This window comes from Homo sapiens, chromosome 16, assembly GCF_000001405.40.
Source record: "Homo sapiens chromosome 16, GRCh38.p14 Primary Assembly".
Lineage (NCBI taxonomy): Eukaryota > Metazoa > Chordata > Mammalia > Primates > Hominidae > Homo > Homo sapiens.
In genome coordinates, this window is record NC_000016.10 from 10,983,805 (window position 1) to 11,010,747 (window position 26,943).

General features: G+C 46.8%; 1 protein-coding gene across 38 annotated transcripts in view, besides 2 other annotated features; it reads left to right on the plus strand.

Moving 5' to 3' along the window:
- The window catches only part of CLEC16A (C-type lectin domain containing 16A), a 237,623-nt gene that overhangs the window by 39,241 nt on the left and 171,439 nt on the right, over positions 1-26,943 (plus strand). For 21 of the 38 annotated variants that reach the window (NM_015226.3, XM_005255214.3, XM_011522434.3 and 18 more), the window contains one exon: positions 19,270-19,501. In NM_015226.3, coding sequence (NP_056041.1) covers positions 19,270-19,501 — 232 coding nt within the window. The remainder of the gene's footprint in view (positions 1-19,269; positions 19,502-26,943) is intronic. The other 17 variants (XM_005255211.3, XM_047433851.1, XM_005255213.3 and 14 more) reach the window with 1 other exon arrangement.
- Positions 22,156-22,392: a silencer, noted in NCBI's record as "fragment chr16:11099817-11100053 (GRCh37/hg19 assembly coordinates)". NCBI's record gives its function as "represses an EF-1alpha promoter that drives an FKBP-Casp9 reporter gene in an ReSE screen in HepG2 liver carcinoma cells {active_cell/tissue: HepG2}" and the evidence as "EXISTENCE:reporter gene assay evidence [ECO:0000049][PMID:32094911]".
- Positions 23,869-24,573: an enhancer, noted in NCBI's record as "NANOG hESC enhancer chr16:11101530-11102234 (GRCh37/hg19 assembly coordinates)". NCBI's record gives its function as "activates a minimal SCP1, AML or CMV promoter by ChIP-STARR-seq in naive and primed H9 embryonic stem cells {active_cell/tissue: H9 hESC(naive and primed)}" and the evidence as "EXISTENCE:reporter gene assay evidence [ECO:0000049][PMID:30033119]".

A 26,943-nucleotide genomic window follows, 5' to 3' on the forward strand; every position in this document is an offset into this window, starting at 1 on the left:
CCGTACCTACAGCCTGGTTCCTGATGCACCTGGTTCCCTCTTTTCAAAGGTCTTACCCACTCTAAGCTCCTTATGGCAGGGATCTCACCTGTCACTGAATCAGCTGCAGTCTGGGCTGCACAAATGCTCATCTCACTTATGCGGAGCCCAGGCTGCAGCTGATTCAGTGACAGGTGAGATCCCTGCCATAAGGAGCTTAGAGTGGGTAAGTGAGATGAGCATAGTGCGTTTTATACAAGGGCTGTTTCATAAAGGTTTCCTCTCTGCAGCCAGGTGCTCAGGCAGTGGCCAGGCTGGTAAAAGGGCCAGCTCGCCCTGGGGTAGTAGATTTGCTGCCCCACCTACATGAATGGGTGGAATGTGACCCTGTGGATGAAAGGCCACCACTGCATGGAGTACAATTACAAGAGGCCCCTGCCCTTCCACTGGTTTTGGTGTATGATGGTCTGGCCAGGTCATTTTGTTATTCAGGGGAGCATTAGCGCCTCTGAAAAGCTTCCCAGAAACTCTGTCCTTGTTAGTGGTGGTGGCATTAGTGAATTGATTGGGGCCTTTTCATGGCCCCTGTCTGGCCTATCCCTTTCTTGATTCATTCAGCAGTGTTGATGGAGCTCTTTCTTTGGGCCAAGTATCATGCTAGTTCTGGGGATACACAATGTCATAAAGAGTCTGTGCCGTATTCGAGCTTTACAGTACAGTAGAGAGGTGGACATGGATCAGATATGCAAATAACTCACTGTCTTAACTCTTATAAGCGCTCTAAAGGGAAGAAGTGTTTGGTGAGAGGCTTTGGCCTAGAGGTGACAGGGGTGATGTGTTAAAGATTTTCCTAGTGGTCCATCTCATGACAACACACGGTCTGGCAAATGTACAGCTGACTCAGAGTTTATGGGGCCCTAGATATTTCTCTGCAACTTTCTTAAACTAGCGTTTGCTAAATGAATGTAAGTCACGGAAGGCTGAGTCAGCAGAATCAGCAGGGCCTCCAGTTAGAGGTGCAGAGTGCCCTGCCAGCCACCTGGTCTCGGGCAGGTTGTTTCACTCCATTTAGAAAACAGGCAGCGCAAGCCCTGCTCTAGAGAGCTGATGGAGATGGGGGCAAAATATAAAGTGCCCGCTGGGCACGGTGGCTCACCCCTGTAATCCCAGCACTTTGGGAGGCCGAGGCGGGCAGATCACCGGGTCAGGAGATCGAGACCATCCTGGCTAACACGGTGAAACCCCGTCTCTACTAAAAATACAAAAAAAATTGGCCGGGCATGGTGGCAGGCGCCTGCAGTCTCAGCTACTCGGGAGGCTGAGGCAGGAGAATGGCGTGAACCCAGGAGGCGGAGCTTGCAGTGAGCTGAGATTGCGCCACTGCACTCCAGCCTGGGCGACAGAGCAAGACTCCATCTCAAAAAAAAAAAAAAAAAAATATATATATATATATAGTGCCCATCAAGTGCCTGCTGGGTTGCAAACTGGCCACCAGACTCATTTGGTTTGGTCTTTGCAGTATTTAAAAGAAAATTTTCTGAATTGCCAACATTAAAATTTAGGAAGAAAAGTCCAGATTTTTGGAATCTTCTCCAACAGTCAGAAGATCTGGTCCCCATCAATGCACGTTTCTACGGGAAGCTTCGCAGAGCCTGCCCCCATCAGATGAGGCGTGTTTACCGTGAAACCTGCCCACTGCTAACTGGGACTACATTGATGTTAATATGTTAATAGCAACTGGAGATGTACTGGGTCCCTCGGGACTTTTTTTTTTTTTTAGTTGCATGATTTCCAAGCCTGAGGATAGCTGCCGTGGCTTCATCTCAGATTGTCTTACTGTAAGATACCCTCTGCAGTGCTGAAGCTAGACTTGTCGTTCTAAGAGATGAAACCAGAGATTGCTGGGCTCTGGGGTTTGCAGCATTGTTTATTTATTTTTATTTATTTATTTATTTTGAGATGGAGTCTCTGTCGCCCAGGCTGGAGTGCAGTGGCGTGATCTCGGCTCACTGCAGCCTCTGCCTCTGGGTTCAAGCGTCAGCCTCCCAAGTAGCTGGGATTACAGGCATGTGCCACCACGCCCAGCTAATTTTTGTATTTTTAGTAGAAATGGGCTTTCACCATGTTGGCCAGGCTGCTCTTGAACTCCTGAGCTCAACTGATCTGCCTGCCTTGGCCTCCCAAAGTGTTGGGATTACAAGTGTGAGACACTGCACCTGGCCTGCAGAATTTTTTTTTTTTTTTTTTTTTTTTTTTTTTTTTTTTGAGACTGAGTCTCGCTCTGTCGCCCAGGCTGGAGTACAGCGGCACGATCTCAGCTCACTGCAAGCTCTGCCTCCCGGGTTCACGCCATTCTCCTGCCTCAGCCTCCCAAGTAGCTGGGACTACAGGCGCCTGCCCCCACACCCGGCTCATTTTTTGTATTTTTAGTAGAGACGGGGTTTCACTATGTTAGCCAGGATGGTCTCAATCTCCTGACCTCGTGATCCACCCGCCTCAGCCTCCCAAAGTGCTGAGATTACAGGCATGAGCCGGCCTGCTGCATTTTTAGAGTTGTGATAAGAACACAACATGAGATCTACCCTTTTAACACATTTTTATTTGTATGGTTAACATTATTGTTGAGTGTAGGCACAGCATCATTCAGCAGATTTCTAGATCTCATTTATCTTGCATACTGAAACTTCAGAAGTACAATGTGCTATCCATTGCTCTGTGGAGTCACCTGCATGACTGATACTTCATACCCACTGGACAACAACTCTCCATCCCCCCAGCCCCAGCAATCACCATTCTCCTCTCTGCATGAGTTTGACAATTTTAGATACCTCGTATAAGTAGAATCGTGCAGCATTTGTCTTTGTCACTGGCTCATTTCACTTAATGTAATGTCCTCGAGATTCATCCATGTTGTCGCATATATCAGAATTTATTTCTTTAAGGCTCAATGTGTGTGTGTGTGTGTGTGTGTGTGTGTGTACCAAGAAATATACCACATTTTCTTTTTCTTTCTTTATCCATTTATCCATCATTATGCAGTTTTAGTTTTTTTGATTTTTTTTTTGGTGTGTTTTGTTTTGTTTTGTTTTTGACAGAGTCTGGCTCTGTCGCCCAGGCTGGAGTACAGTAGCGTGATCTCGGCTCACTGCAACCTCTGTCTCCAGGGTTCAAGTGATTCTCGTGCCTCAGCCTCCGAATAGCTGGGACTACAGGCATGCACCACCACACCCAGCTAATTTTGTTTGTATTTTTAGTAGAGATGGGATTTTACCATGTTGGCCAGGCTGGTCTTGAACTTCTGGCCTCAAGTGATCTGCCCGTCTTAGCCTCCCAATGTGCTGGGATTACAGGTGTGAGCCACTGCACCCAGCTTTTATGCAGTTTTTTTTTTAATTGAAATTTTTTACTGAGATAATTATAGATTTGCGTGCAGTTGTAACAGATAATACAGAGAGATCTTCCTCAGTTTCCCCCAGTGGTAACATCTTGCAAAACTCTAGTACACCCTCACAAGCAGGATATTGACAGTGATACATAGGATTTATGTTTGAGCAAAAGCAAACTGCGGGTTACTGGCAACCTCTCAGTTTAGGACACTGGCTGTAGCTCAACCATTTAGTCAGGGGAAGTGTTTAGGAGATCTGTCCTCTCTCCTGATATGGCCTCTTCTTAGGATGAAGGTCTCACCTCCCTTGTGAGAGACACACAAACTGCCTTTGGGATGTAAGAGCCAGTTGTGGTGGACACCTGAACTGAAAATGAGACTCTGTAGCGTGGAGGGAATTGCTAGCCCACATGTGTCGGCTTTCTGCTTCCAGTTACTACCTTTCTCTCAGTGTGAAGTTGAAGTTGGTTGTAATCTGATGACTATCGTTCAGGTTTGGGAAGAGCACAGGCTGAATTCCTTCTGTGACTTGTTTGATAATAGTCCTGGTACGATTTACCTTCCTTCCCTATGAGCGAGAACAGACTCCTATTGTTTCCTGCCCAACTCGGATGTGGTTTGATTATACTTGTTTTAAGTTTCTTGGTCTTTTTTAACCTACTTTCTCCTTCCCGTAATTTGTAGATAAGTTACTGGTATTGCCTCATTTTTACCAGCAGACCTTTCACAAAACCAAACCAAAATTGAAGAGAGAGAAGCAGAGGGGAGATCACAGTTATTTGAAAGGACTGTAATTTAGGGTTAAATGGAAAACACATCAGCATGGTTAGATGAATGTCTAATTGAAATTCATCTGTGCGTTAAAATCATATGGTTCCTGCTAAAGGCTAATTCTTGCTATAATTCGAATGCAGAGCAGATAGTGTTTCTTGTGTGGGGAAATCGAGTAGGACAACACTAATTCTGAAACTGCTAACATCTCGTTGTTTTTGCAGAATGAACATATAGATTAGAATTTGGGATATGCATCATTACTTGTAGGTACTTTTTTTAAAGGACTTTTTTTTCCTCTTGGGTTTCTGTGGAATGGTTTCCTTCATTTTTGCATTCATTCATTTATTCATCTATTCATCCATTCCTTCAGCAGCCATCTGTTGTGTACTTGTGCTGAGAGATGAGGGATGTGGTGGTGCACTGGAACGACCTGACCCCTGCCCTCCCTGGGCTTCCCTCCTCCCATGAGGACAGGGACCATGTCTCGGAGATGCCTGTGCCACCTGTGCCATCATGGGGCTTGCCAGAGATGCCCAGGGAGGTGTTCGGTGCAGGAGTGAATGACTCAGTGGGTGAAGTGGTAGCAGAGTCACAAGGGCTCTCGTGACATTCTTGTAATGACTCTCAGAGCAGAAGTCACTTCCTAGCCTGCCCCTTGAATGCCGCCTTCTCTTTGCCTCAGTGGCTGGGTTTGCAGTGGGCTGCTTTTGGTGCTGTTCCATGTTCCACCTCCAGAGGCAGCCTTGTGGAGTGGGTGCTGTAACCAGTTTCCCTGGGCTCCTCAAATCGTGGTCCCTGATTTTACTAGGTGTTCCCGGGCCTCAGTTTCTTACCTCTCCAGTGAGAATAGCAAACATGGGTTTATGATGAGAATTAAGTGCCGTGTAAAGTGCTTACTCCAAAGCCTTTTTATGTACACAGCAAGTGCATAAATATTAGATGTTATCATTATAATGACCTTAGTTCCTAAGGCTGCGCAGTGACCTTCCACCTCCTACCTGGGACCTTCTTCCCTGGGCTTACGAGCTGTCTCTGGACTGATGAATGTGGAAACAGACACCATGCGCCCTTCAGTGGGGTGGCTTTTGAGCAGACACCAAGGCACAGAGGGAGAAGTGTTAGTAATAACAGTGATGATGAAACACCAATGTTAGCCATTGCCATTGAGTGATGGTAGGTGAAGCCCTCTGTGTGTATACTGTGTGTATACTGTGCTCTCCATTCAGCCAGACCCAGATTTAATTTCTGGAAAGTGCAAATACTGTTGTCGTTGTTTTTTGTTTTTTGTTTTTTTTTGAGACAGGATCTCGCGTTGTTGCCCAGTCTGGAGAGCAGTGGTGTGATCCTAGCTCACTGCAGCCTCAGCCTCCCCAGGTCAAACGATCCTCCCACCTCAGCCTCCTGAGTAGCTGGGACTAAAGGCACATGCCACCATGCCCAGATAACTTTTGTTTTTTTTTGTTTTTTTGTTTTGTGGAGATGGGGTTTCGCCGTGTTACCCAAGCTGGTCTCGAACTCCTGGGCTCAAACAATTCACCCACCTTGGCCTCGCAAAGTGCTGGGATTACAGGCATGAGCCATCACACCCAGCTGGAAAGTATAAATACTTAACTGCTAATGTGGGTTCATATGGTTGGCTGGTTGTGAAGTCAGGGTCTGAGGATTCTGGGGCAGAATAGGCTTGCTTATCTCCACATAAGGACATTGACAGTCTGTCTGTAGATACCAGTTTAGCAGTTAGGATGGTTTCCAGATGAATCTCTGGACACCTGTCACTTCTAGTAGCAGGACTCTCTGCCCAGCCGGATACTCCCCCAGGATATGGTGTGTGGAGCCAGTGGCTAGGAAAGTAGCAGCCTTGCTTCTCTGGGTTGTGTGTTTGCAGATTCAGAGCATTAATCGTTGACTTAGCTCCCCTGGTCGCTGCTGCAGGGCTTTCTTTACAACTCAAACTTGTATCCGATGTCAGCCGAGTCTCCCGTGTGCTGAATGCATCAGGCAGGATAGCACCCCTTCCGGCCAGGATTAGAGTTCCTGAGTCTTTTAGTGACCCTGACTGTACTCATGATCCCCCAGCTAATCAGTGCTGGTTCCAAGGCGCGCACATTCTTCTTCCTGAAAATGCTAATAGGCTTCTGGGAGAAGGTTGATTGTGAATATCAAAGGGTAAAGATAGACTTCTATAAATTAAGGGCCTTAATTGACCCATTGCAGACATTCCCACAAGGGAATTAGAGCTTGGTGTATATTCTCCCTTTTGGCTTTGCCATTGAGGTCTATCCCCTAATCCCTCACTGCAGTTACGGCTCTGAGGTGCCATTCTTGCCCACCGAAGTATTGAATGTGGCAGCTCTGGTCTATGTTTAAGAGGATTTGATATAATCAAAATCCAGAGTGCAACATGAGGTCCGGTACTAAGGAGCGTATCGTTGTCTGAGAAACAGTTGCGTCTCTCTGTTTCCTGGGGCAGAAGGTGGGCTGGACAACTGAGGAGGGTCTCAATGTCCCTTAGTACTTGAGAAGGGAGCAGGCTTTAGCCAGGGCCGCGGGTGACTGTGACCAAAGGCCCGGGGTTTTGGCCTTGGGCCAGCTAGCCAGAGAAGGGGCAGGTGCCTTCATTGCTACATCCTGGAGAAGCCAATTGGTAACAATGGAGTGGGCACAGTGGGCAGGGATGGGAGCAGGAGGCAGATGGGGAAGAAGCCTTGTGACTTAGACCCTAGCTGGCTTTTCTATATCTGTCCTGCAGTGTGTGACACAGAATGGGCTTGGGGCAGCCACAAGGCTGGAGGCAGCTCCATGTAGAATGGGGACCTTTTCTGATTGCGTTGGGCCATTGGTGACTTCTTCTGGGTTTCAATTAAAATCAGAAAATTGAGGGTGAGGACAGACAAATGAGGTACATGCCACTTCTGGCCTCTGTCCCCTGTGGCATTGTTAGTTTTCATGAGTGGGCCAGCCTCTTCGGATATTTGTGATTTTTAACCTGATTTTGAGTTACCTGAAGCCAGGTCAGTATTATTTATTCAGATATTCAGCAGATAATTATTGGGTATCTGCCGTATGCCAGGCACTGTTCTAGGCCCTGGAGATATATACCCAGTGAGCAAAACAAAAACCTTGACCTCCAGGAACTTGGGTCTCATGCAGAGAGACAGAGGAACAATAAAGCAAATAGTAACATCAGGGCACGTTAGATGTGAGAAGCCCTGGGAAAACAGTAGTGAAGCAGAGGATGGACATGGGCAATGCTCGGAGGCTGGAGTGTTACAGTTCTCAGTAAGGTGGCTGGGGTTGGCCTTGTTGGGAAGGTGAGGTGGAAGCACAGACTCAAAGGAAGCAAGAGAGTGAGTCATGTTGGTATCTGGAGGAAGAGCATTTTGGTCATAAAGAACATCGTGAACCTGGGAGGCGGAGCTTGCAGTGAGCCGAGATCATGCCACTACACTCCAGCCTGGGCGACAGAGCAAGACTCCGTCTCAAAAAAAAAAAAAAAAAAAAAAAAGAACAGCCAGTGCAAAGGCCCTGCGGTGGGATGGTGCCTAGTGTGTTGGAGGAACAGCAAAGGGCAATGTGGCAAGGGGATGGGAAGTAGGAGATGAGGTTGGAGAGAACAAGTGTCCAAGGGACATGGCACCTATGTGCCATTGGAGGACTCAGGAGTTGCTGTGGAAGGAGACTGGAACCTCTTCGTCTTTGTGTCCCCATGTCTAGCATGGTTCCTGCAGTCAACGTTGATTGTCTTGATGTGACAAGTCTCGGTACGGGAATCAAACACATATCTCTAATGAGCGGTGGACATCCGGTCTTGGCCAGTGTCAGAGTCCTTGAAACTGGTTTTGCTGCGGGATGCTTTGCCTGATGGGAGCCTGAGGGCTGCACTTGAGCAAGAAGGGAGCATTTTGCTCACTTCTCAGAGACCCCTGCCCTTTCTGGGCATTCCAGCAGAGTTCACAAGAGTGGCTTGGTGGTGTGAGTCATTCGTTTCATGCCTGAGGGCAGTGCAGCTCTCATCCCTGGAGGTGATTAATGAGTGGGAGTTTCCCTAGAGAGTTCTGAGGCCAGTTGAGTAGCAGATCCTGGCTGGCCTGAAATTGATTGCCTGCTGACCACTTGCTGGGTTGCTTATAACCTGGCCCCAGGACAGCTTCCTGGTAGCCTCCAGATACGCACGGGGACAAATTTGTTAGTTTCATGGGCAAAGAGAAGAAAAAATACAATACCTTACTGTTAACCACAGTCACCCTTCTGTGCAATAGAACACCAGATCTCACTCCTCCTGTCTAATTGGAACTTTGTACCTGTTGACCACCCTCTCCCCATCTTCCCCATCCGCATCCCTGCATCCCCTCCCTGCCCAGTCTCCTGTAACCACTGTTCTCCTCTCTACTTCTATGAGATCAACTTTGTTTAGATTCCACAAGTGAGATCATGCTGGAAGACAGAGTTTTGAATGTTCTCACCACAAAGAAATGATAAATACATGAGGCGATGGATATGCTAAGTACCCTGATGTGATCATTACATGACGTACACATATATTAAAACATCAAATTGTACCCCATAACCATGTACAATTATAATGCATCCATTAAAAAATAAAAAAGAAAAAGATAACATTAAATGGTTTTATTCACTCAAATAATATTGTGCTGGGTGACACTTGAGTTCTGGGTGGGTCATTTTCTGACATGAGCAGAATGTGCTCCATCTGTGAGGCAGAGGCTGGCTGCCATACTTACCCTTGTGCACTCCCTGCCTCGAGTAATTGTTGAGCCCCTACAAGTTGCAGGCAGGTGCTGTGAATGAACAAGACATCTGTCCCTTCCCTGATGATCTATTTGTGGGGGATAGACAGTAAGCCAGCTCATCCTCACAAATTTAAGATTTGGATATGGGAAGGAAATAGAAGCAACTTTGGGAGGTATGATGAGGGAAGCCCTCTAAGGAGGGAGCCTAATATTGAGAACTGAGGTCAGGGAGCTAGGCCTGCTGAGAGTTGAGGGGTTGGGTCGGGGGGCGTGGCCAAAACATGAGAAATGGTGAGTCAGAGGCCTCTGTGGGAAGGAGTTGGGTGTATATGGGATCAGGAGAGAGGCCAGCATTCAAGAAATATCCTGGGTTGGTGGAAGAGAGGGACGGTTTTCGTTTTATAGAAGATGAACCTGGCTGGGCTTGGTGGTTCATGCCTGTAATCCCACCACTTTGGGAGGCCGGTGTGGGCAGATCACTTGAGGCCAGCCTAGACAACATGGTAAGACCCTGTCTCTTCAAAAAAATACAAAAATTAACCGGGCGTGATGATGCGTACCTGTGATTCCAGCTACTCAGGAGGCTGAGGTGGGACCATCTCTTGAGCCTGGGAGGCGGAGGTTGCAGTGAGCCATGATCACACCACTGCACTCCAGCCTGGGCAATAGAGTGAGACTGTCTAAAAAAGAAAGAAAAGAAGTCAAGCTTACTTGTTTGTCTCATTGAACATCTCATTTCACGCTCATAATGAAAGAGAGCGAGGTGGTGTTATTGTCACACGCTCCCCATAAGGAAGCCAAGGTTCCGTGATTGTTCCTTTGGGATTGCAGGTGACTAGCCCCAAATCTCACACTGTTTCTATTCCAAGTCTTTTTATCACCACTTGCAATTATGTTTTCCAGTTTGGCATGAGATGTCAGGGCAGTGTAGCATTTTGGGCTGTTCTGAGTAACAGAATAACCAGTGTTTCACAGTTCATCTTTTTCAAAATATAGTAAAATACTCTTTCCAAAGAAATACCAAATAAGTGCTTGGTTTGTCATTGTTTAGTAAGGGAGTGTGAGATGCCTCATTTTGTGTGATTGAAGAGGCCTGTTCAATGCTCGTGATGATCTTGCAATTAATTCATCCCACAAGCATTCCCTCTTGATTGAATGCCAGAGACAGTGCCAGACATGCTGCTTGGCATTGAGAGGGACAGAGAAGGTGACCTGGGATGGGGAAGGCAAGGGAGAGGAGGCTGGCCCCCTACAGACTTAGTGACACGCCAGAGGTCACTTTCCAAGAGGAAATTGCAGCACCATCTTGACGTTACCTGCTCCTCATCTCAGCGTCAAGTGCTGAGCACGCGGCTGCAAGAGGCCTGTGAGTGCTGTGAGTCTGTTCCAATTCCTGAGAGATGGACATTTCCTTGCTTTACGCCTCTGCAGCTGCAACACTTGATAACTGGTAATTCATGGAGAAGAATGCCGTGTTCTCCTTGTTAATGGAAGCGGCCTGCTACCTTTGCATGTTCCCCACTCCATAGCATTCATTTTCTCCTTTACATTTCGGCAGTGCCGTCAAATCGCCTCACTGATGTTGCAGCTGTGCATTCTTCATGCATGTTGGGCTTTGGTTCCACAGCTCCACGCGGCTCCTGGATTGGCGAGTAAGGCATATGTCTATACATCACCCTGGGGTACATCACCCATCTGGTGCTTGCTTGCCAATCACCTCCTTCTGGATGAGAACAGGTTCACTCTGCTGCACTCATCACCCGGCTTCCTTTTTCAGCCAGTGGCCAAGCCATGTGCTACAGTGCTGTTGGTTACAGTGGGTGTGACCTCCTGTGACTTTTTGTCTCTGTGTTTATCAGGTAAAAATGTGAAAAGATGTGTGTGTCTGTGGTCCCAGCTACATGGGAGGCTGAGGCTGGAGTATCACTTGAACCCAGGAGACGGAGGTTGCAGTGAGCTAAGATCACACCACTGCACTCCAGCCTGGGTGACAAAGTAAGATCCTGTCTCAAAAAAAAAAGTGAAAAGAGTCACATTATAGACAACCATATAATTGTCAGGCTAGAGGACCACCTGTTGAGTGATGCATAAACTGTCACTGCATTTTTGTTGCAAAGAGCTACTGTTTCTCTGATTAGTGTGACGTCGGCATGGCCTAGTCTTTACATCAGTGCTCCCGGGAGGCTGGCCCAACGTTGGGAGGTGCAGCAAATGCATATGGAAGGGAATCGTGTTTGAGCCATGTGGCAGGAAGGTTGTGCACCTGGGCACTGGGGCTAGTTTATTCCTGGGTTCAAATCCTGCCTCTGCCTCTCACTAGTGGGTGACCTTGGGCAAGATCCTCACCTGTGTAGTTCCTTGCCCCATTTGGTTATTTGTAGGATAAAGCAAGACAATGTATATAAAGTGTTCAGAGCCATGCTGGGCACATTTTAAGTGTTCACTGAGTATTCAGGATGGCTGTTATTACCTGGAAAGAGTAACAAGAGTGTGCCATCTCTTGGCACCTCTCAGCAGCACTGTTGGGGAGATGCTAATATGATGCCCATTGATGGCTGTGGCAACTGAGACCTATAGAGGAGAAGGTAGGAAGCAGTGGAGCCAGGACTGAAACCACGGTGGATGGGACCCTGGGCCTCTGAATCCCACCCTGGCTTTGTACCTTGCTGTGTACCTTGCCAGTCCTGGCGCCTGAGGCCGGAGATGGGGAAGGTTAGCCAGGGGCCCAGGAGCATGTTGGGGAGGCTGAGTCTAGCCCACTAACAAAGCAGAAGGCCAGCGAGCAGTAAGTTGCTGGGAGCTTGGGAGTCAAGTTTAAAGCATAGAACATGACTGTTCTTTAAAAGCCCCTCCCCTGCCCTCTCTTCCATCCTCGTGATCTATTTGCCAGGGGGTTGAAGGGCAATGAAAATTTCTCTGGTGCCCCCTTGTACCAGGCATTTTGCCTGTTGGATCCCACACTACCCCCATGGTGGCGTGTGATATGGAACTACTCTTGTCTCTGTTTTACAGATGAGGAACTGAGGCTCCTGTGGTCAGGGTCGCTTGGCTAGTAGAATGTGGGTCTCAGACTTGGGGCCAGGTCTGCCTGGGCATGTTTTTTGTTAGTCACCATGGCCTGTCTCCTTTCTTAAGGGGAAAACCTTTCTCCTACTTCTCAAATCGCTTAGCAGAGCTGTTTGAGGAAGCATCCTCAGAGGGTGAGTAGGCTCGGCCTAGGAGAGCCTGGAAGGGTCTTCTTAGCTTGATTATCACAACAGCTTTGATAGATTCAGACAGAATCTCAGGCCCTGGAATCTCTCCTTCCTTTACCTGATGCCTCTGGCCACCGGTCTCTCTTTCCTTCGTGCTCAACCAAGATTCTTCCCTGGGCAGGCTGCCTGGTGCCCTTACATCCCCTTTCCTGGTCACTCGCCAACAACTGCTTTCTCCCCTCCCTGCTGCCCCACTGAATAGATGCTGAGAAACCCACTCAACACGTTGCATCTATAGGGCATTGAGTCAAGGTATCTGATATCTCTTCTGAGGCTGTGAGCCTGAAGAACCCCTTTGTGAGCAGCACGGGCTAGTGCCTGACTGAGAGGCTACTGGCTGGCCGGGGACCACTGCCCTGACTTCCTGCAAAGTCCAGCGGCTGTGCATCTGCCCCTACCTGGGGAGCTGGCCGAGCACCTTGGGTCCAAGGGTACCACCACTGTCACCAAGCACCAGCCCCAGGTGACCTAGGCCTTAGCAGAAGTAAAAGGTGAGTGGCTTCTGGGCACACCTAGAGAGCTGGCTCCTCCTGGGCTCTGAGCTGGCTTTCCTACTATTCTTTCCTTCCTGAGCATGCTGCTGAAGTCCTGTTGACATCCAAGACTTGTATCAGTCATTTCCTCCTCTATCAAGCCGTCCTAAGCTCCCCCTATGCCTCCCAGCCCTGGCGCATTTTCCCTCCCTTCCTCTGCGGCCCCATCACTCTTGTGTGAACCTCTTCTCTTCCAGCGTCTGCATGGGCCATGTGGCAATAAATGCAGGATTCACCAGGATTCACCTGTCTGGGGTGGACTGTGGGCTCTGAGAGGGGTGGACTGTGGGCTCTGAGAGGCGTGGACTGTGGGCTCTGAGAGGCGTGGCCTGTGGCTTCCTGCGCTTACCTGAGTCCCCCTCATTTCATCAGTGATCAGTGAATCCAGCTCTCCCACCTGTTCGCTTTGTCCTACCTTGTATTTAGGGCATTACAGCAATCCAACTTCATTGAAAATCCTCTTGGTAAACTTTTTGGTGTTTTTTGTTTGTTTGTTTTTGAGACACGGTCTTGCTGTGTCACCCAGGCTGGAGTGCAGTGGCACGACCACAGCTCACTGCAGCCTCAACCTTCTGGGCTCAAGTGATCTTCCTGCCTCAGCCTCCCAAGTAGCTGGGACTGCAGGCATGCACCACCATACCCAGCTAAATTTTGTATTTTTTGTAGAGACAAGGTCTCACCATGCTTCCTGTGCTCATCTTGAACTTCTGGGCTCAAGTGATCCTCCTGCCTTAGCCTCCCCAGATCTTGGGATTACAGGCATGAGCCACTGCGCCCAGCCTGGGAAAGTTTTTAAATTGAGGAATCACATAAATACAATAAAGTACATAAAAGTTTAGTAATCTTAGATGTACTGCTTGATGATTTTGTGCACATGATTATATTCATGTATAATTCGAGTCAAGATGGAAAACATTTCTGGTATTCCCATAAAGCCCCTCCTCAGTTTGTAACCCATACCTCCACCCCACCCAAGAGAATCACCATCCTAACTTATAAACTTGCCTTTTCAAAGTTTTTTAAATTGTGATAAAATAAACATAAAATTCACTCTCTTAACTATTCTTAAGTGTTCAGTTCAGTGGCATTAATGCGTTTTGTAAAGATGTTCTTTACGTGTAAATAGTGCTGGTAATAAAAGTTTCTAGTGCTGGTAATATCTAAATAGTGCTGGTAATAAAACAATTGAGTGATGTAGACGCAGGTAGAGCAGAAAGTGAAAGGTCCTCCAACCTCAGTATCTTCCTCAGAGGGAACCACTGTTCTCAGTTTGTATATTCTTCCAGACCTTTCGCTGTGTATTTTCATGTAAGTATCAACCCAGGAATACATGATATGCACTTATGTTTCAGCCCTATAGTTTTGGTTTTATTTTAACCATAAACTGAATCATTAATTGTTGATTGATTGCAACTTGCTTTTTCTTGTGCAGCCTGTGTCCAGGTCTTTGTAAGCTGCTGTACCCACACCTGGTGGAACATGTTTGTTTGACATCTGTCTTCTCAGCCATGTGTCTCCTCTCGTTCACTCAGGCACCCAGTCTTTGGTTGTTTCCATCCTCCCTCCCATCCCATTGCTGCCCTTTGCAGTTTCTGCACACAGATTCCTCCATTCCATGAAAGATTGATCCCTGGGGATTCACCTTTCCCAAAGTGTTTGACTTTTGAAAAAGCAAGGACCAAAGCCTCAGGTGAAGGGGTTCAAGGCTGATGGAAGACGTCATTAACCAGCAGGCAGGTGCAGACGCTTAGGGAGTAGTTAGGCCCCGGGGCACCTCTAAAATGTAGTTGCTGACTGTTAGCTGGCCCTCACCCCAGAAGCCAGCCCAAATATTCAGCTGCAGAGCTCAGGGCTCCCTTGTGTTTCACTGCAGTCAGCAAAGAGGCTCCTTCCCTTCATGCTCCTCCTGTAGCCCAGCCTCAGGCACCTGGGAGATGAGCGCGTGGTGAAACCTAAACCTGTGGCATTTGGGACATGTAGACCTTCTTTGCAGAATACTTTTCCCTGGGGCATGTGTTGTGTACTTTCTTTATGAGAAAATCAACCCAAACGCCTTGTGATTTCTTACTCTGAAGTGGGCTTTTCCACTTCTGGTTAGTTTGGGTGAGCTTGCTCTTTCATTCTGCTACGTTTAGCTCCTGAGAAAGTTTGGCTTTTTTTCCCCTTCTTTCCCTCCCTTCTCCTTCTTCTCCTTTTTTCATCATTCTGTCTTGCCCTTTGGGTACAGCCTGGTACAAACATTCATTCCTACAGCCATGAGCTCACTCAGCAGCAGCCTGTCCGCCCCTGCTCTGGTCCAGGCACCGTGGGGTAGAGATGAGAGCACAGTGGCGAGAGGAGGGACAGGGGCCCTTCTCCTAGGGGCTTCAGACTGGAGCATCCTTGGAGGCTGGCAGCCAGAAGCAGGGTGACCGGAGCAACAGAAATGGTCACAAATCTCTGCCCACATTTCCCAGCCAAATTCTACCAGCCTCTGCATGCTAACTGTGATGTTTTGGTGTTAGCTTTAAGAAAAAACAAAAAACAAAAAACAGGTTTTTAAAATATAGAATAAAAGGGAGCAAAAATAGTCCTTAGTCCCAATGTCCAAATGACCCCTGCTGAATTTGTATTATGTATCTATTTATATGTATATGTTTAGAGACAGGGTCTCACTGTGTGGCCCCGGCTGGTCTTGAACTACTGGGCTCAAGGAATCCTCCCATCTCAGCCTCCCAAAGTGCTGGGATTACAGACATGAGCTCCACACCCAGCTGAATGTTTAAAATAAAGTTAATATATGTTCATGATTAGAAATCTCAAACCAAAAGGTATAAAATAAAAAAAGTGTGCTTGTGTGGGTGTGTACACAGTGCCACTGCTTTTTTTAATTCCCCCAAGATGCCAATACATTCTTAGGCATCTTTCCAGGAAAAGTCGCATTTACACCATCACGTATAGCCTTTGAAAAGCTTTACTTGAAAGGGACCCTACTGCCTACTCCCTTCCTGCATTTTCATCCTGGTGCTGAGTCTGCATCAGTTTATTTAGGAATAAAAAGGCCCCAGTCTTCTTAGATTCCCACCCTTTGGACAAACAGATCATAATTACCTAACAACTCCCCTATCAATGGACATTTAGGTTATTTCCAGTTGTTTACTGGAAGGTCGTGTTATAAAGGTTTGAAATTTCCCCAGTAAGCATGCCCTCCCACACCAGACACCTGATCACTGAGAAAAGTAGATCCCTTTGGAAAGTTTTAAAATTCATTCTTGCAGCTGATTTTTTTTTTCTTTTTTTAGATGTAAGCAGGAAAAGAAGGTAATGTTTTGTGTTGGATGTTCACCGTTTCGGCACTCTCTGAAGGAACTTTATTACTTATTTATTTATTTTGAGACGGAGTCTCACTCTGTTGTGCCCAGGCTGGAGTGCGGTGGTTTAATCTTGGTTTACTTCAACCTCCGCCTCCCAGGTTCGATCGATTCTCTTGCCTCAGCCTCCCGAGTAGTTGGGACTACAAGCGCCCGCCACCACACCTGGCTAATTTTTTGTATTTTTAGTAGAAGCGGAGTTTCACTATATTGGCCAGGCTGCTCTTGAATACCTGACCTCAGGTGATCCACCTGCCTGGGCCTCCCAAAGTGCTGGGATTACAGGCGTGAGCCACCACGCCCGGCCTCTGAATGAACTTTATATCCATGGGTTCCTTTGGTTCTAGGGGGCCAGAATTACTCTCCATGTTTTAGAACAGGAACCTGAGGCCTAGGACAGGCCAGCTGGGTTGGGTTTCAGACCACTCTGGCCAGCCCCAGGCGCTGAGCACTTTATTTCACTTCGTCAGTTCTGCCAGTTTGTTCTGTATGTCTGAGTCCACACAGAGCTTAGGGAGGGGTTCTATATCTGTCTGTGTGAATTTCTGCTCTTAATTTCAAACTAGGGGACGTTTTGCCCTGCGCTTGGTCTCTATTTTCTGTTTCTGAAAGCTTTGATTGCTGTGTGGCCGGCTCTGAAATTCACTAGGAGTTGGCAGTGATGGGAGGAAGCTAACTTCCTGGGTTTGGATGCTTCAGGAGAAGATGAGAGGGCGACTAGGCTGCATTCGATCACCCGGCATCCTAAGTGGGCTCTGATGGATGCTGTCTGTCAAGCAGTGCATTCTCAGAACGCTCCCATCTGGGGGCCCTCGGTTATTGGCGTCTGTAATACGCTATCTGGGTTTCCTGGACAGTAGAATCATGCAGCAATTTATGTGTCATTTTTTTGTGGTTGAATAATCCACAGTGGGCAAATAAAAATTAATGTTTATATTTGGATGCTAATTCACCTTTCAATTAGGTTTTGTTTTGAGCGTTATTGAAATTAATCTGTGTTCCTTGAGCACATTTCCATTTATTGGCAAGGTACGGTGTTCCCCAGCATATAATTGGTGGTCGTTTGGGGTAAATTCAGATGGATAATCTATATCAAGATAATGGAAAAGTTTATTTTGAAACTTTTTTTAAATTACAAAATGATATCTGAACATTATTTCAGACTCTGATAAGAGAAAAACACTTCAATCAAAATCCCGCCCTAAACAAATCAATTTTCTTCTGTCTTTTGTGCCTTTCTAGTCTGTTTGCATGTCTATACCCTTTTTTTTTTATTTTCTTTTTTGAGACATCTCACTCTGTCTCCTGGGCTAGAGTGCAGTGGCGCCATGTTGGCGCTCTGCCTCCTTGGCTCGAGCGATCCTTCTACCTCAGCCTCTGAAGTAGCTGGGACTACATGGGCATGCCACCATGCCCAGCTAATTTTTCTATTTTTTGTAGAGATGGGGTTTTGCCATGTTGCCCAGGCTGGTCTTCAAATCCTTGGCTCAAGTGATCCTCCCAGCTTGGTCTCCCAAATTGCTGGGATTACAGGTGTGAGCCATGTGCCTGGCCTTCCTCTTTAAAGAGCATTAAATGTAGAATTAAGTTTTAGCTCCTGGTGAAACACTGTTCTTTTAGGAAGAGTGTGAGCTTTGGAATTGGCAAGCCCCAGTAAGCCCCAATTCAAATTCTGACTCCAACTCAGTAGCTGTGTGACATTGGGCAAGTTATTTAACCTTTCTGCTCCTCTATTTTCTCAATGATAAAAATGGGACTGATAATTCCTATATATTATGGTTGTTATAAAGACTGAGATATACTAATATGAAGCATGAACCACAGTTGACACTAGCCTCATTCTGTCGCCCAGGCTGGATGGAGTGTAGTGGCACGATCTCGCTCACTGAAGCCTTGACCTCCCAGCCTCAAGCAATCCCTCCCACCTCAGCCCCGCAAAGTGCTGGGATTAGAGAGGTGAGCCACCACACCCGGCCATCTCTGACTTTTTAAAGGAAGAACTTTGTCCTCTGGGGCGAGCTGATCTTTGACTTATTGCTGATACTTACTAGGCTCCCTTTCTAATGAGAGCCAGAATTTGACAACACCCACTACACCTGGCTTTTTCTTTCTGGTTATTTATGTTTAATATAATAGCAAGGCACGCTAGTGTTCCATTGCCTGTAGTGATAGTTTTGTTTAAAATGAACTTATTTGGGTTAAAATTAATAATAATATCAGTGGGCTGTAGCTAAGACACAGCTTGTGTGGCTGGTACGTGGTTTTGAATCCCGGCTCTGCCACCTCCTGGCTGTGTGACCTCGGGCAGATCCTTTTCTGTCTCTGTGCTTCAGTTTCTTCACCTGTAAAATGAGGATGACACAGTAATATCTCATGCAGTTGCTATAAAGTTCAAGTGAGATCATATAGTCAGAGCCTGAGAACAGCATCTGACACATAAGAAAGTACCACAGAAGTGTTCATCAGAAGTTCTCCTTACACAAACAGCTAATATTTGGGGAGTGTAGAGCTGCTGCTGGTAAAGTGCACCATTTCTGACTTAGGGCAGTAGACAGTAAATGGTAGCTGGCACTGTTGTTTTGATTATTTGATGATGATGTTAATAATGGGCATAATAATAGATCTGGAGGTGGCATTTGTTTTGGAGATTAATTTCTCTTTATTAAAATATGTTTTTATTGTCTGTGTTCATGGGGTAAAATGGCAGTGTTGCCACATTGATGTATTGCATTGTGGTGAAGTCAGGACCTTCATTGCATCCATCACTGGAGTAATGCGCACTGGACCCACCAAACACCCTCCCATCATCCACCCCCTCCAAGTCCACCACCCCTCCCAGTCTCATTGTCCATCATCCCACACTCTGCTGCCATGTGCACATGTTATTTAGCTCCTGCTTATGAGAATATGCAGTAAGTGTCTGAGTTATTTCACTTAAGATAATCGTCCCCATGTTGCTGCAAAATACATGATTTCCTTCTTTTTTAGTGCTGAATACTATGCCATCGTGTGTATACATGTCATCTTCTTTATCTAGTCCTCTGTTGGTGGACACTTAGGCCGATTCCATGTCTTTGCTATTGTGAATAGTCCCGCAGTAAGCATGCGAGTGCAGCTATCTTATGATATAATGGTTTCTTTTGGAGATGAGTTTCTTAGGACAGAAACTTTTGGGCAACTTGATAGCATCCAGCAGGATTCTAGTGTTCAAATTCACCTGTTGCCTTCGTTGGACTTTCCTAGGCCAAGCCCAGCATTCGGTGCTTCATTAAACCCACCGAGACACTCGAGCGGTCCCTTGAGATGAACAAGCACAAGGGCAAGAGGCGGGTGCAAAAGAGACCCAACTACAAAAACGTTGGGGAAGAAGAAGATGAGGAGAAAGGGCCCACCGAGGATGCCCAAGAAGACGCCGAGAAGGCTAAAGGTACAGAGGGTGGTTCAAAAGGCATCAAGACGAGTGGGGAGAGTGAAGGTGAGTGTCCCCATGAACGCCGCCCTGTGCCTGCGCCGCCAGCCAGCCCGCCAGCGAGGCTGCCACCTGTGCCCTCTCCACCCAGACTTCTGCTCCCCACAGTGTCCAGCCAGTGATTCGATTCCTACCTCACACTGGCGTACCTCATTCTATACAGCCCTGCCACTCGGAGGCTGCTGTAGGTGTATGTCATATGCAGGTCCAGGGCAAGTCCCGCCCTCATGGGATGGGTGACCTGGGGCCAGTTTTCCTCACCTATTAAAGGAGGGTAACAAATAGTACCTACTTTGTAGTGTTCATACAAGAATTAAATGAGCGAATATGTGCAATGTGCTCCAAACAGTGCCTGGCCCATTCTAAATGCTGCAAAGGCTTCGATGCTGCAGAAGTGTTCGTCATTATTATGACAGTAGGAGCAGCATGGAATTATTATTATCTTTATCCTTATTACTGATATAATTATTCCCAATAACCTGGGGTTATGATTTGCATCCTGTGCACTGCGGGAAGAAAGAGGATTTGTGTTTAATGAAATGATATGCTTGTAGGCCGAGTGCAGTGGCTCACACCTTAATCCCAGCACTTTGGGAAGCCAAGGTGGGAGGATCACTTGAGCCCAGGAGCTTGAGACCAGCCTCACCAACATGACGAGATCCTGTCTCTACAAAAAAAAAAAAAAAAAAAGTGTTTAGTATTTTTAAAATACTGAAAAATCAAATATAATTCTCTCAATTCTTACGTTAAGGTTTTTTAAGTCCTGTCTGTTTAGAATGAGGTGCACTCGTGTGTAGTACGTATGTGCTCTGTAAGCAAAATCATTCATTCCTCCTTTTGCCCTTTTTGGGAATTCTGGTCAATTTTTCACCTCCCTCTCGTTGAGATGCTAAAACCTTCTTGAATTGGAGATCATTTACTCTTGGGATTAAGCAGAATGGAACTGCCCTATTGCTTGTGTCATGGGCCAGGCTCACAGCCACACAGCTGGGGTCTCTGCCCGTCGTCCTGGGCACTGGGGCTGGGGGCAGCGGGAAGTGATGGGGAGCTTGATACTTGGTAGAAGTGGAGCTGGGGCTCTTCTCAGGAAGGTCTGGCCACACTTTCTGGAATGAACTTGGCATCTCCTCAGCAGTCTGGTTGCAGTCTCTGTGGGTGTGGGGAACACTTCCTGTGAGCCCTCCTCCTGGGCCTTGGGCTCACAGTGGCTGCTCTGAAACCACCTCTCCACAGCCCTGTCAGCAAGGACTGCGTGAGCTTCCCAGTCCAGGGCATCTGAAGCTGTAACACAGAGCCACTCGTTCAGTGACTGGGAGCTCATTTGCTTTTGGGAGTTGCCTGAGATTCTGCAGCCAAAGAATGCCTCCGCCACCACCTTGCTTGCTCCATCATGACTTTCTTGGCAGTTGTCAGTGAATACCATGATCACATTTCAACAAGCGTAACCAAAATGTCTCTCTGGTGCCACCGAGACCTCTTTTTATGGTTGAGATCTCCAGCCTCCTCTTATTTCTGTTTAAAGTGTGCAATAGGTGTTTTGGTTTAGGAATTCATTTTTGGCCTGGGAAGCCTTTGCCAATAAATATCACTGTGGTGGGGAGGGGAAGGCCAAACCCAAGGTAAGCCATGCTAATTTGCTTATTGGGGTCATTCTGATTATTTTGTTGTTAATGCTGAAGAAAAATGTCTGCCTAATCCCTAGGTTTAGTTGTTCTGTTGCCACACTGGGGGAGAAATGGACATCTTCACCTCATTTTGTGCATTGTGTTCTCATCGATTTTGTTTTGGAAAGATGCTACCTCTTTCATTCCAGTCCTTTTAAGGATGCTCTCTAACCAGGCCTCAGCTGTGACTAACAGTGGTGTGGATCAGACAGGCTTAGCCCCAAAATCACAATCAAATTAGTCAGCCAGCCAGCCCAGTCCTGGCACACAGGGGCTTCAGGCCAGTTCTGCAGGCTGCTGTTTCAGCTTGAACTGCTTGAATTAGAGTAGGGGCTCCTGGAAGCTGTGCCCAGCTGCCCTGGGCAGGGTACAAGGGAACGAATTTCTGCCACGTCCAAAAGCCTGTTTTCCAGGTGGTTACTTAGCCAGATCGTGCCACACAGGACCCAGGAATCTCCCCAGAGGCTTTGCTTGAACAGTTGGTGCTTCAGGGCTCAGTCACACATGGCTCTCAATGACCTGTGCAATTTTGATGCCCTCCTAATTTCTTGAGCACATTAGTCATTTCAAAATATGATGGATCTGTCATTTTGTCACTCAGCTCACCATAAATACATACAACTTTCATAGACCGGTCCTGCCAGGCAACAGCACTTGTATTCTGGAGCTTTCTGAATTATATATTTGCTCTCTTGATTATTTGTAAATGTGAAGGTGCAGTTGGTGGGTGTTCTCTCCTTAGACGGTATCTGTGTTTGGATGAAACTGCACAGCTGTTAATTCCTGTGAGTCGGAAGGGTGTCAGGCACATTTCTTCATTCACATTGCATACCAGAGAACAGTGTAGATGCTGGGCAGTGCCTAGAAGATGCGAGATCTGACTCGCAGTCATGTCTCAGCATCTAGGTTTATTGTGTGTCTTGGATGGCCTCTTGAAGCTCTGGACCTCATTGTTCCTGTCTGGAAATTTCTGAATATAGAAAATATAATTCACATGATGACTTTTTTTTTTTTTAAGTGAAGATACGTTGATATTTGCGATTGCAAGATTTAGAAATCCAACTCAGACTGGCTTAAGCAAAGAGGGTGTTTATTGTTCATGTTCCTGGGAAGCTTGGACAGGGCTGGGCCCAGGTGCGCTCACATCGTCCCAGCTTGGCCAGCAAGTGGAGAGGGGGCTTCTCCTTCCCAGTGGCTGCCACTGAAGTCCTGGGGCCAATGCTTGTGGGTACTGTGGGCCTGACTTGGGTCCTCTTCCCACCCCCAGAGATATTCTGGACCGATTGGCCTGGCCCGCATGACAAATCTATGCTACAGTGGCTCCCTCAGTAAAAAATGAGATGCGTTTATCAGAAGCAAGGGGCAGGGATGCTGGGCCAGCAGAAATAGCAGATTTCCCCCTAGAAAGTCACACTGTATTTCTGGGTACTCCCCTTCTCTCTCAAGGCCATCTTCTGCCATCCTATTTTGAGATAGACATGCGGCTCTTTTCTCTTCCACATTATTTCTTCTCTAGAAGCTCCTTTCATTGTCCCTAGATCCACGGACTTATCGACAGATGGACATGGTGACTCTTAAGGAAAGAGATGCTGACACTCTGCCTCTGCATACCCTGCCAATCCCATTTTAGTAGTGAAATTTTGACTTTAAAAGACGGGGAAAATACAGGAGTAAAAAAGGCATGTGGTCACGAGGCACAGTTTTGCCATGACCCAATTTGGATATGGCATTAGTGTGTATTGTTTTGTTGTTGTTGTTGTTATTTTTTATAAATGCAGCACCCAGAATTCACACCTCCTCCAGATTTAAGCTCAGACAAGGAAGTTGTGTGAAATGAATGTGCACCCCTAACCCATCCACTCCCTTCCCCAGTCTACAGAGGAATTTGCTCTGCCTCAGGTCCCAAGTAATGGGTGACTCATTCTGCAACCAAGAAATCACAGGGCCCCTAAATTTGCAGAAATTAAATACTAAAAAAAGAAGGATATCATCGTCCCTGTAGGCAAAGAAGCATTCACTCTGCCCAGGAAGGCAGACTTCCTAGGGTACGTGCTTGTTTTTTAGCTTGCCCTTGAGTCTGAAAGGACAGTTATCTCTTTTGGAATTTACTTAGAGCAGTAACTTAATAAGCATATCCTAGGGACTGAATCCTTCAAACTCCTCATGTAAAAATAGGGCTGGACTACTGTTTTTTTGCCTATGGAAAAAGTAATTGCCCGGACTCACCTTCAAAGCCTACTCATTTGTTGAAATTCCAGCAAGGGCATGAAGTAAAGATGATAGGCCTTTGAACCTGCCAGGTTAGCTGGGTTTGAGAGGGTACCTGGGAGTTTAGAGACCCATCTTGCCTTTTTCTTTTTCTTTTGGAAGTCTCTACTGAAATGGGATGAAACCTGGCCTCATTTCCAGCTCCTCTTTCAAAATTAGAGCCAGCCCCAGGCCTGGCAGTGTCTTGGTTGGGGCAAGCCAGGGACTGACTATCGGAGAGTTGAGATCTGAATCCCAGCTCTGCCCCTGAACAGCTGTGTGGCTCTGGGCAAGTAATTGCCCTCTCTGCACTTCTCCACCTATAGAGGGGACTTCCTAATGCCTGGGCCTCAGATTGTCATAAGTGAGAACATCAACACTGTAGCGTTCAGCATGTGACACAGGAGCTTTCTACGAACCCTGGCCAAGGTGGAGGGCAGAGTGAGGCGCTCGAACAGCAATTTGAGTGTGGTTGCATGACCTCCACTTGGGCACCAAGCACGTTTCTGTGGGACCCGTTTCTCTGTTAATTTCTACAGCTAGTAAGTGAGCTTAGTGAGTGTGCAGGTGAGTATGTGTGTGAGAGTGAGTGTGTTTGTATGTATGTGTGTGTGTAATGGTGGGAAGAGAGGGAGAAGAAGGATCAGCAGGCCCAGGCGCTGCAGTAGAGAGATGTTGTGGGGCTGTCAGGTTTTCAGATGGGCTTAACTGGGATAAGGAGGAGAATTAGAGGTGAATTAGGACAAAGCCTCTGAAGAGCAACTTCCCGAAAACAGTTCTCAACTCAATCTCCTGCTGGGCAGTAGAAGATAATAAAAAAACAAAGGAAGGGCTGCCCCCAGTACTTAGAGCACTTAGCGCACACACTCTCGGTCGTTGTCAGGGGCTGTTTGCTTCTTGAAATTCTGCTAAAAAGCCAGCCAATTACATGCAGGCTGTCCCTTATATCCTAGGTAACCAGCCAGGCATCTTTCCCCTTAGCCTTCCTTTGAAGGTCTTATTCCCCTCTTGCCATCTTTTTTCAGTCTGTCCTTGCTGTGATCGCTGGAATATGGAACACAGAGGGCAACTGAGAAAATCCTTGAATTTGTGAAGTCAAAGACTATTGGGAGGCCATGCCTGCCATTTCCCTGAAAAGCACTTCATTTACCAAATACTAATCAGATTCGAATGGACATCAGCCCGGGCGAGTTGTTAAATTATTGCTGTAATTTGAAAAATGAGTGTGTCAGAGTATCAGGGAAGCTCAAGAATCTGGCCAGAGCTGTCATTTAGAGAGGCAGAAGTGGACGTCCTTGGGTGCTGAGGGCCCTCAGGACTCTCCTGGCCCACACCAGTGCCTCCCCACATAGGCACTAGTTGGACAACAAGTGGAAAGATGTGGCCTTCCCTGCTCCCTTTTTTTTTCCTTTTTTTAAACTTATGGTAAAATACGTATAACAAAATTTACCATCTGAATCATTTCTAAGTGCACATTTCAGTAGTGTTAAGTACATTCGGCTGGGTGCGGTGGTTCACGCCTGTAATCCCAGCACTTTGGGAGGCCGAGGTGGGCAGATCACAAGGTCAGGAGATCGAGACCCTCCTGGCCAACACAGTGACACCCCGTCTCTACTAAAAAAAAAAAAAAAAAAAAAAACTAGCCAGGCGTGGTGGCGGGCACCTGTAGTCCCAGCTACTCGGGAGGCTGAGGCAGGAGAATGGCGTGAACCCGGGAGGCGGAGCTTGCAGTGAGCCGAGATCGCGCCACTGCACTCCAGCCTGGGCAGCAGAGCGAGACTCTGTCTCAAAAAAAATAAAAAAGTACATTCACGTTGTATAACCATCACCACCATCTGTCTTCAGAATGCTTTTCATTTTTCATCTTGTAAAACCAAAACTGTGCCCATTTAATAACTCCCCACCCCACCCTTTGATGTTCTGTCTTTATGGGTTTGACTGCTCTAGGTCGTTTATTCAAATGGAATCATACAGTATTGTCTTTTGTGCCTGGCTTGCATCACTTAGCATAAAGTCTTCAAGGTTCATTCATGTTGTAGCATGTGCTGGGGATTTCCTTCTCTTTCTTTTTTTTAGGCTGAATAATAATTCCGTTATATGGCTGGACTACATTTCTTTATCCACTCCTCTGTTGATGGACACTTGGATTGCTTCCACTTTTGGCTATTGGGAATAATGCCGCTATAAACATGGGTATACAAATCCATTCCTGCCTTTGAGGCTTTTGTAGAATTGATAGAGGCTGCAGAGGGTCTGGGTGGTACTGGCCAAAGCAAAATGAGTTGGAGATTTGAGTTCCTGCTCCCAGCTTTGCAGCCTCATGAGCTGTGGGATGGTAATCACATTACTCAGCTCCTAGAGGCGGGAAACTTCAGTTGTGTGATGGCGCCGTACCACCTACAAGGCTAGGCGCTGGAGTGTTGGACATGACGGGCCATGCTGCCTGGCATGGGAACTGATACTGTGCAGGCACTCATTTCCACAACTTAAGGGGGCAGTGCAAAGAAAAGAGCCCACAGTAGCCTGGGGCAGAGACTAATGCCTTGGTACTTCAGTTTCCCCTGCCTTAACATGCAGAGTTGAGGGTACATAAGTATTTCTACCACTGCAGAATATAGAGATGGTTTTAGATGGTACAGGGAGAGCCTTAAAGAATATGGTGGCCAGGCGCAGTGGCTCACACCTGTAATCCCAGCACTTCGGGAGGCCAACACAAGAGGATCACCTGAGCCCAGAAGTTCAAGACCAGCCAGGCAACATAGGGAGACCCCTGTCTGTACAAAAAATAAAAAACTAGCCAGTCACAGCGGTGTGTGCCTGTAGTCCCAGCTACTCTGGAGGCTGAGGTGGAAGGATCCCTTGAGCCCAGGAGGTTGAAGCTACAGTGAACTGTGATCGTGCCACACACTCCAGCCGGGGTGACAGAGTGAGACCTTGTTTCTTAAAAAAAAAGAAGATGGTGCAAGAGCTCTAATTCTAAATGATTATCTCCATGGCAGGGGATAGGGTGGGTGGGGGAGCCTGCATATTTGCTGTGACAGGTATTTAGTACTTGAATACCTCTTTCATAAACATGAATCTCCCTTTCATCTCCCTTTCTCAATGCACACAACAGGCCCTAGCACCTTTTTGTTTATTCATCATGTATATTTTTGTAGTTGCTTTCTATTTATACTGGTTTTATGCTTATGGTAATTTTCCCAAACTTTTTATTTGAAAATAATTTCAAATTTACAAAAGGTGCAAAGCCAAAAATAGTATAAAGAACACCTGTTTACCCTTTACCCAGTTTACCCCTGTAACATTTCATACCATTTACTTTCCTATTGTATTTTCTCTGTCTGCACACCCGCCCCACACACCCCACGCACATTCATCGTGCCCCTTTCCTCCTGAAGCATCATGAGCATTTGCTAAGATTAAGGTGTTCTCATTCATGAGCACAGCACAGCTGTCAAATTCATAGTATTCTCCTGCTGTGTTCTTGTTGTATTGGCCTAATAATGTCTTTCTAGCATATTCTCTCCTCCAGTGCAA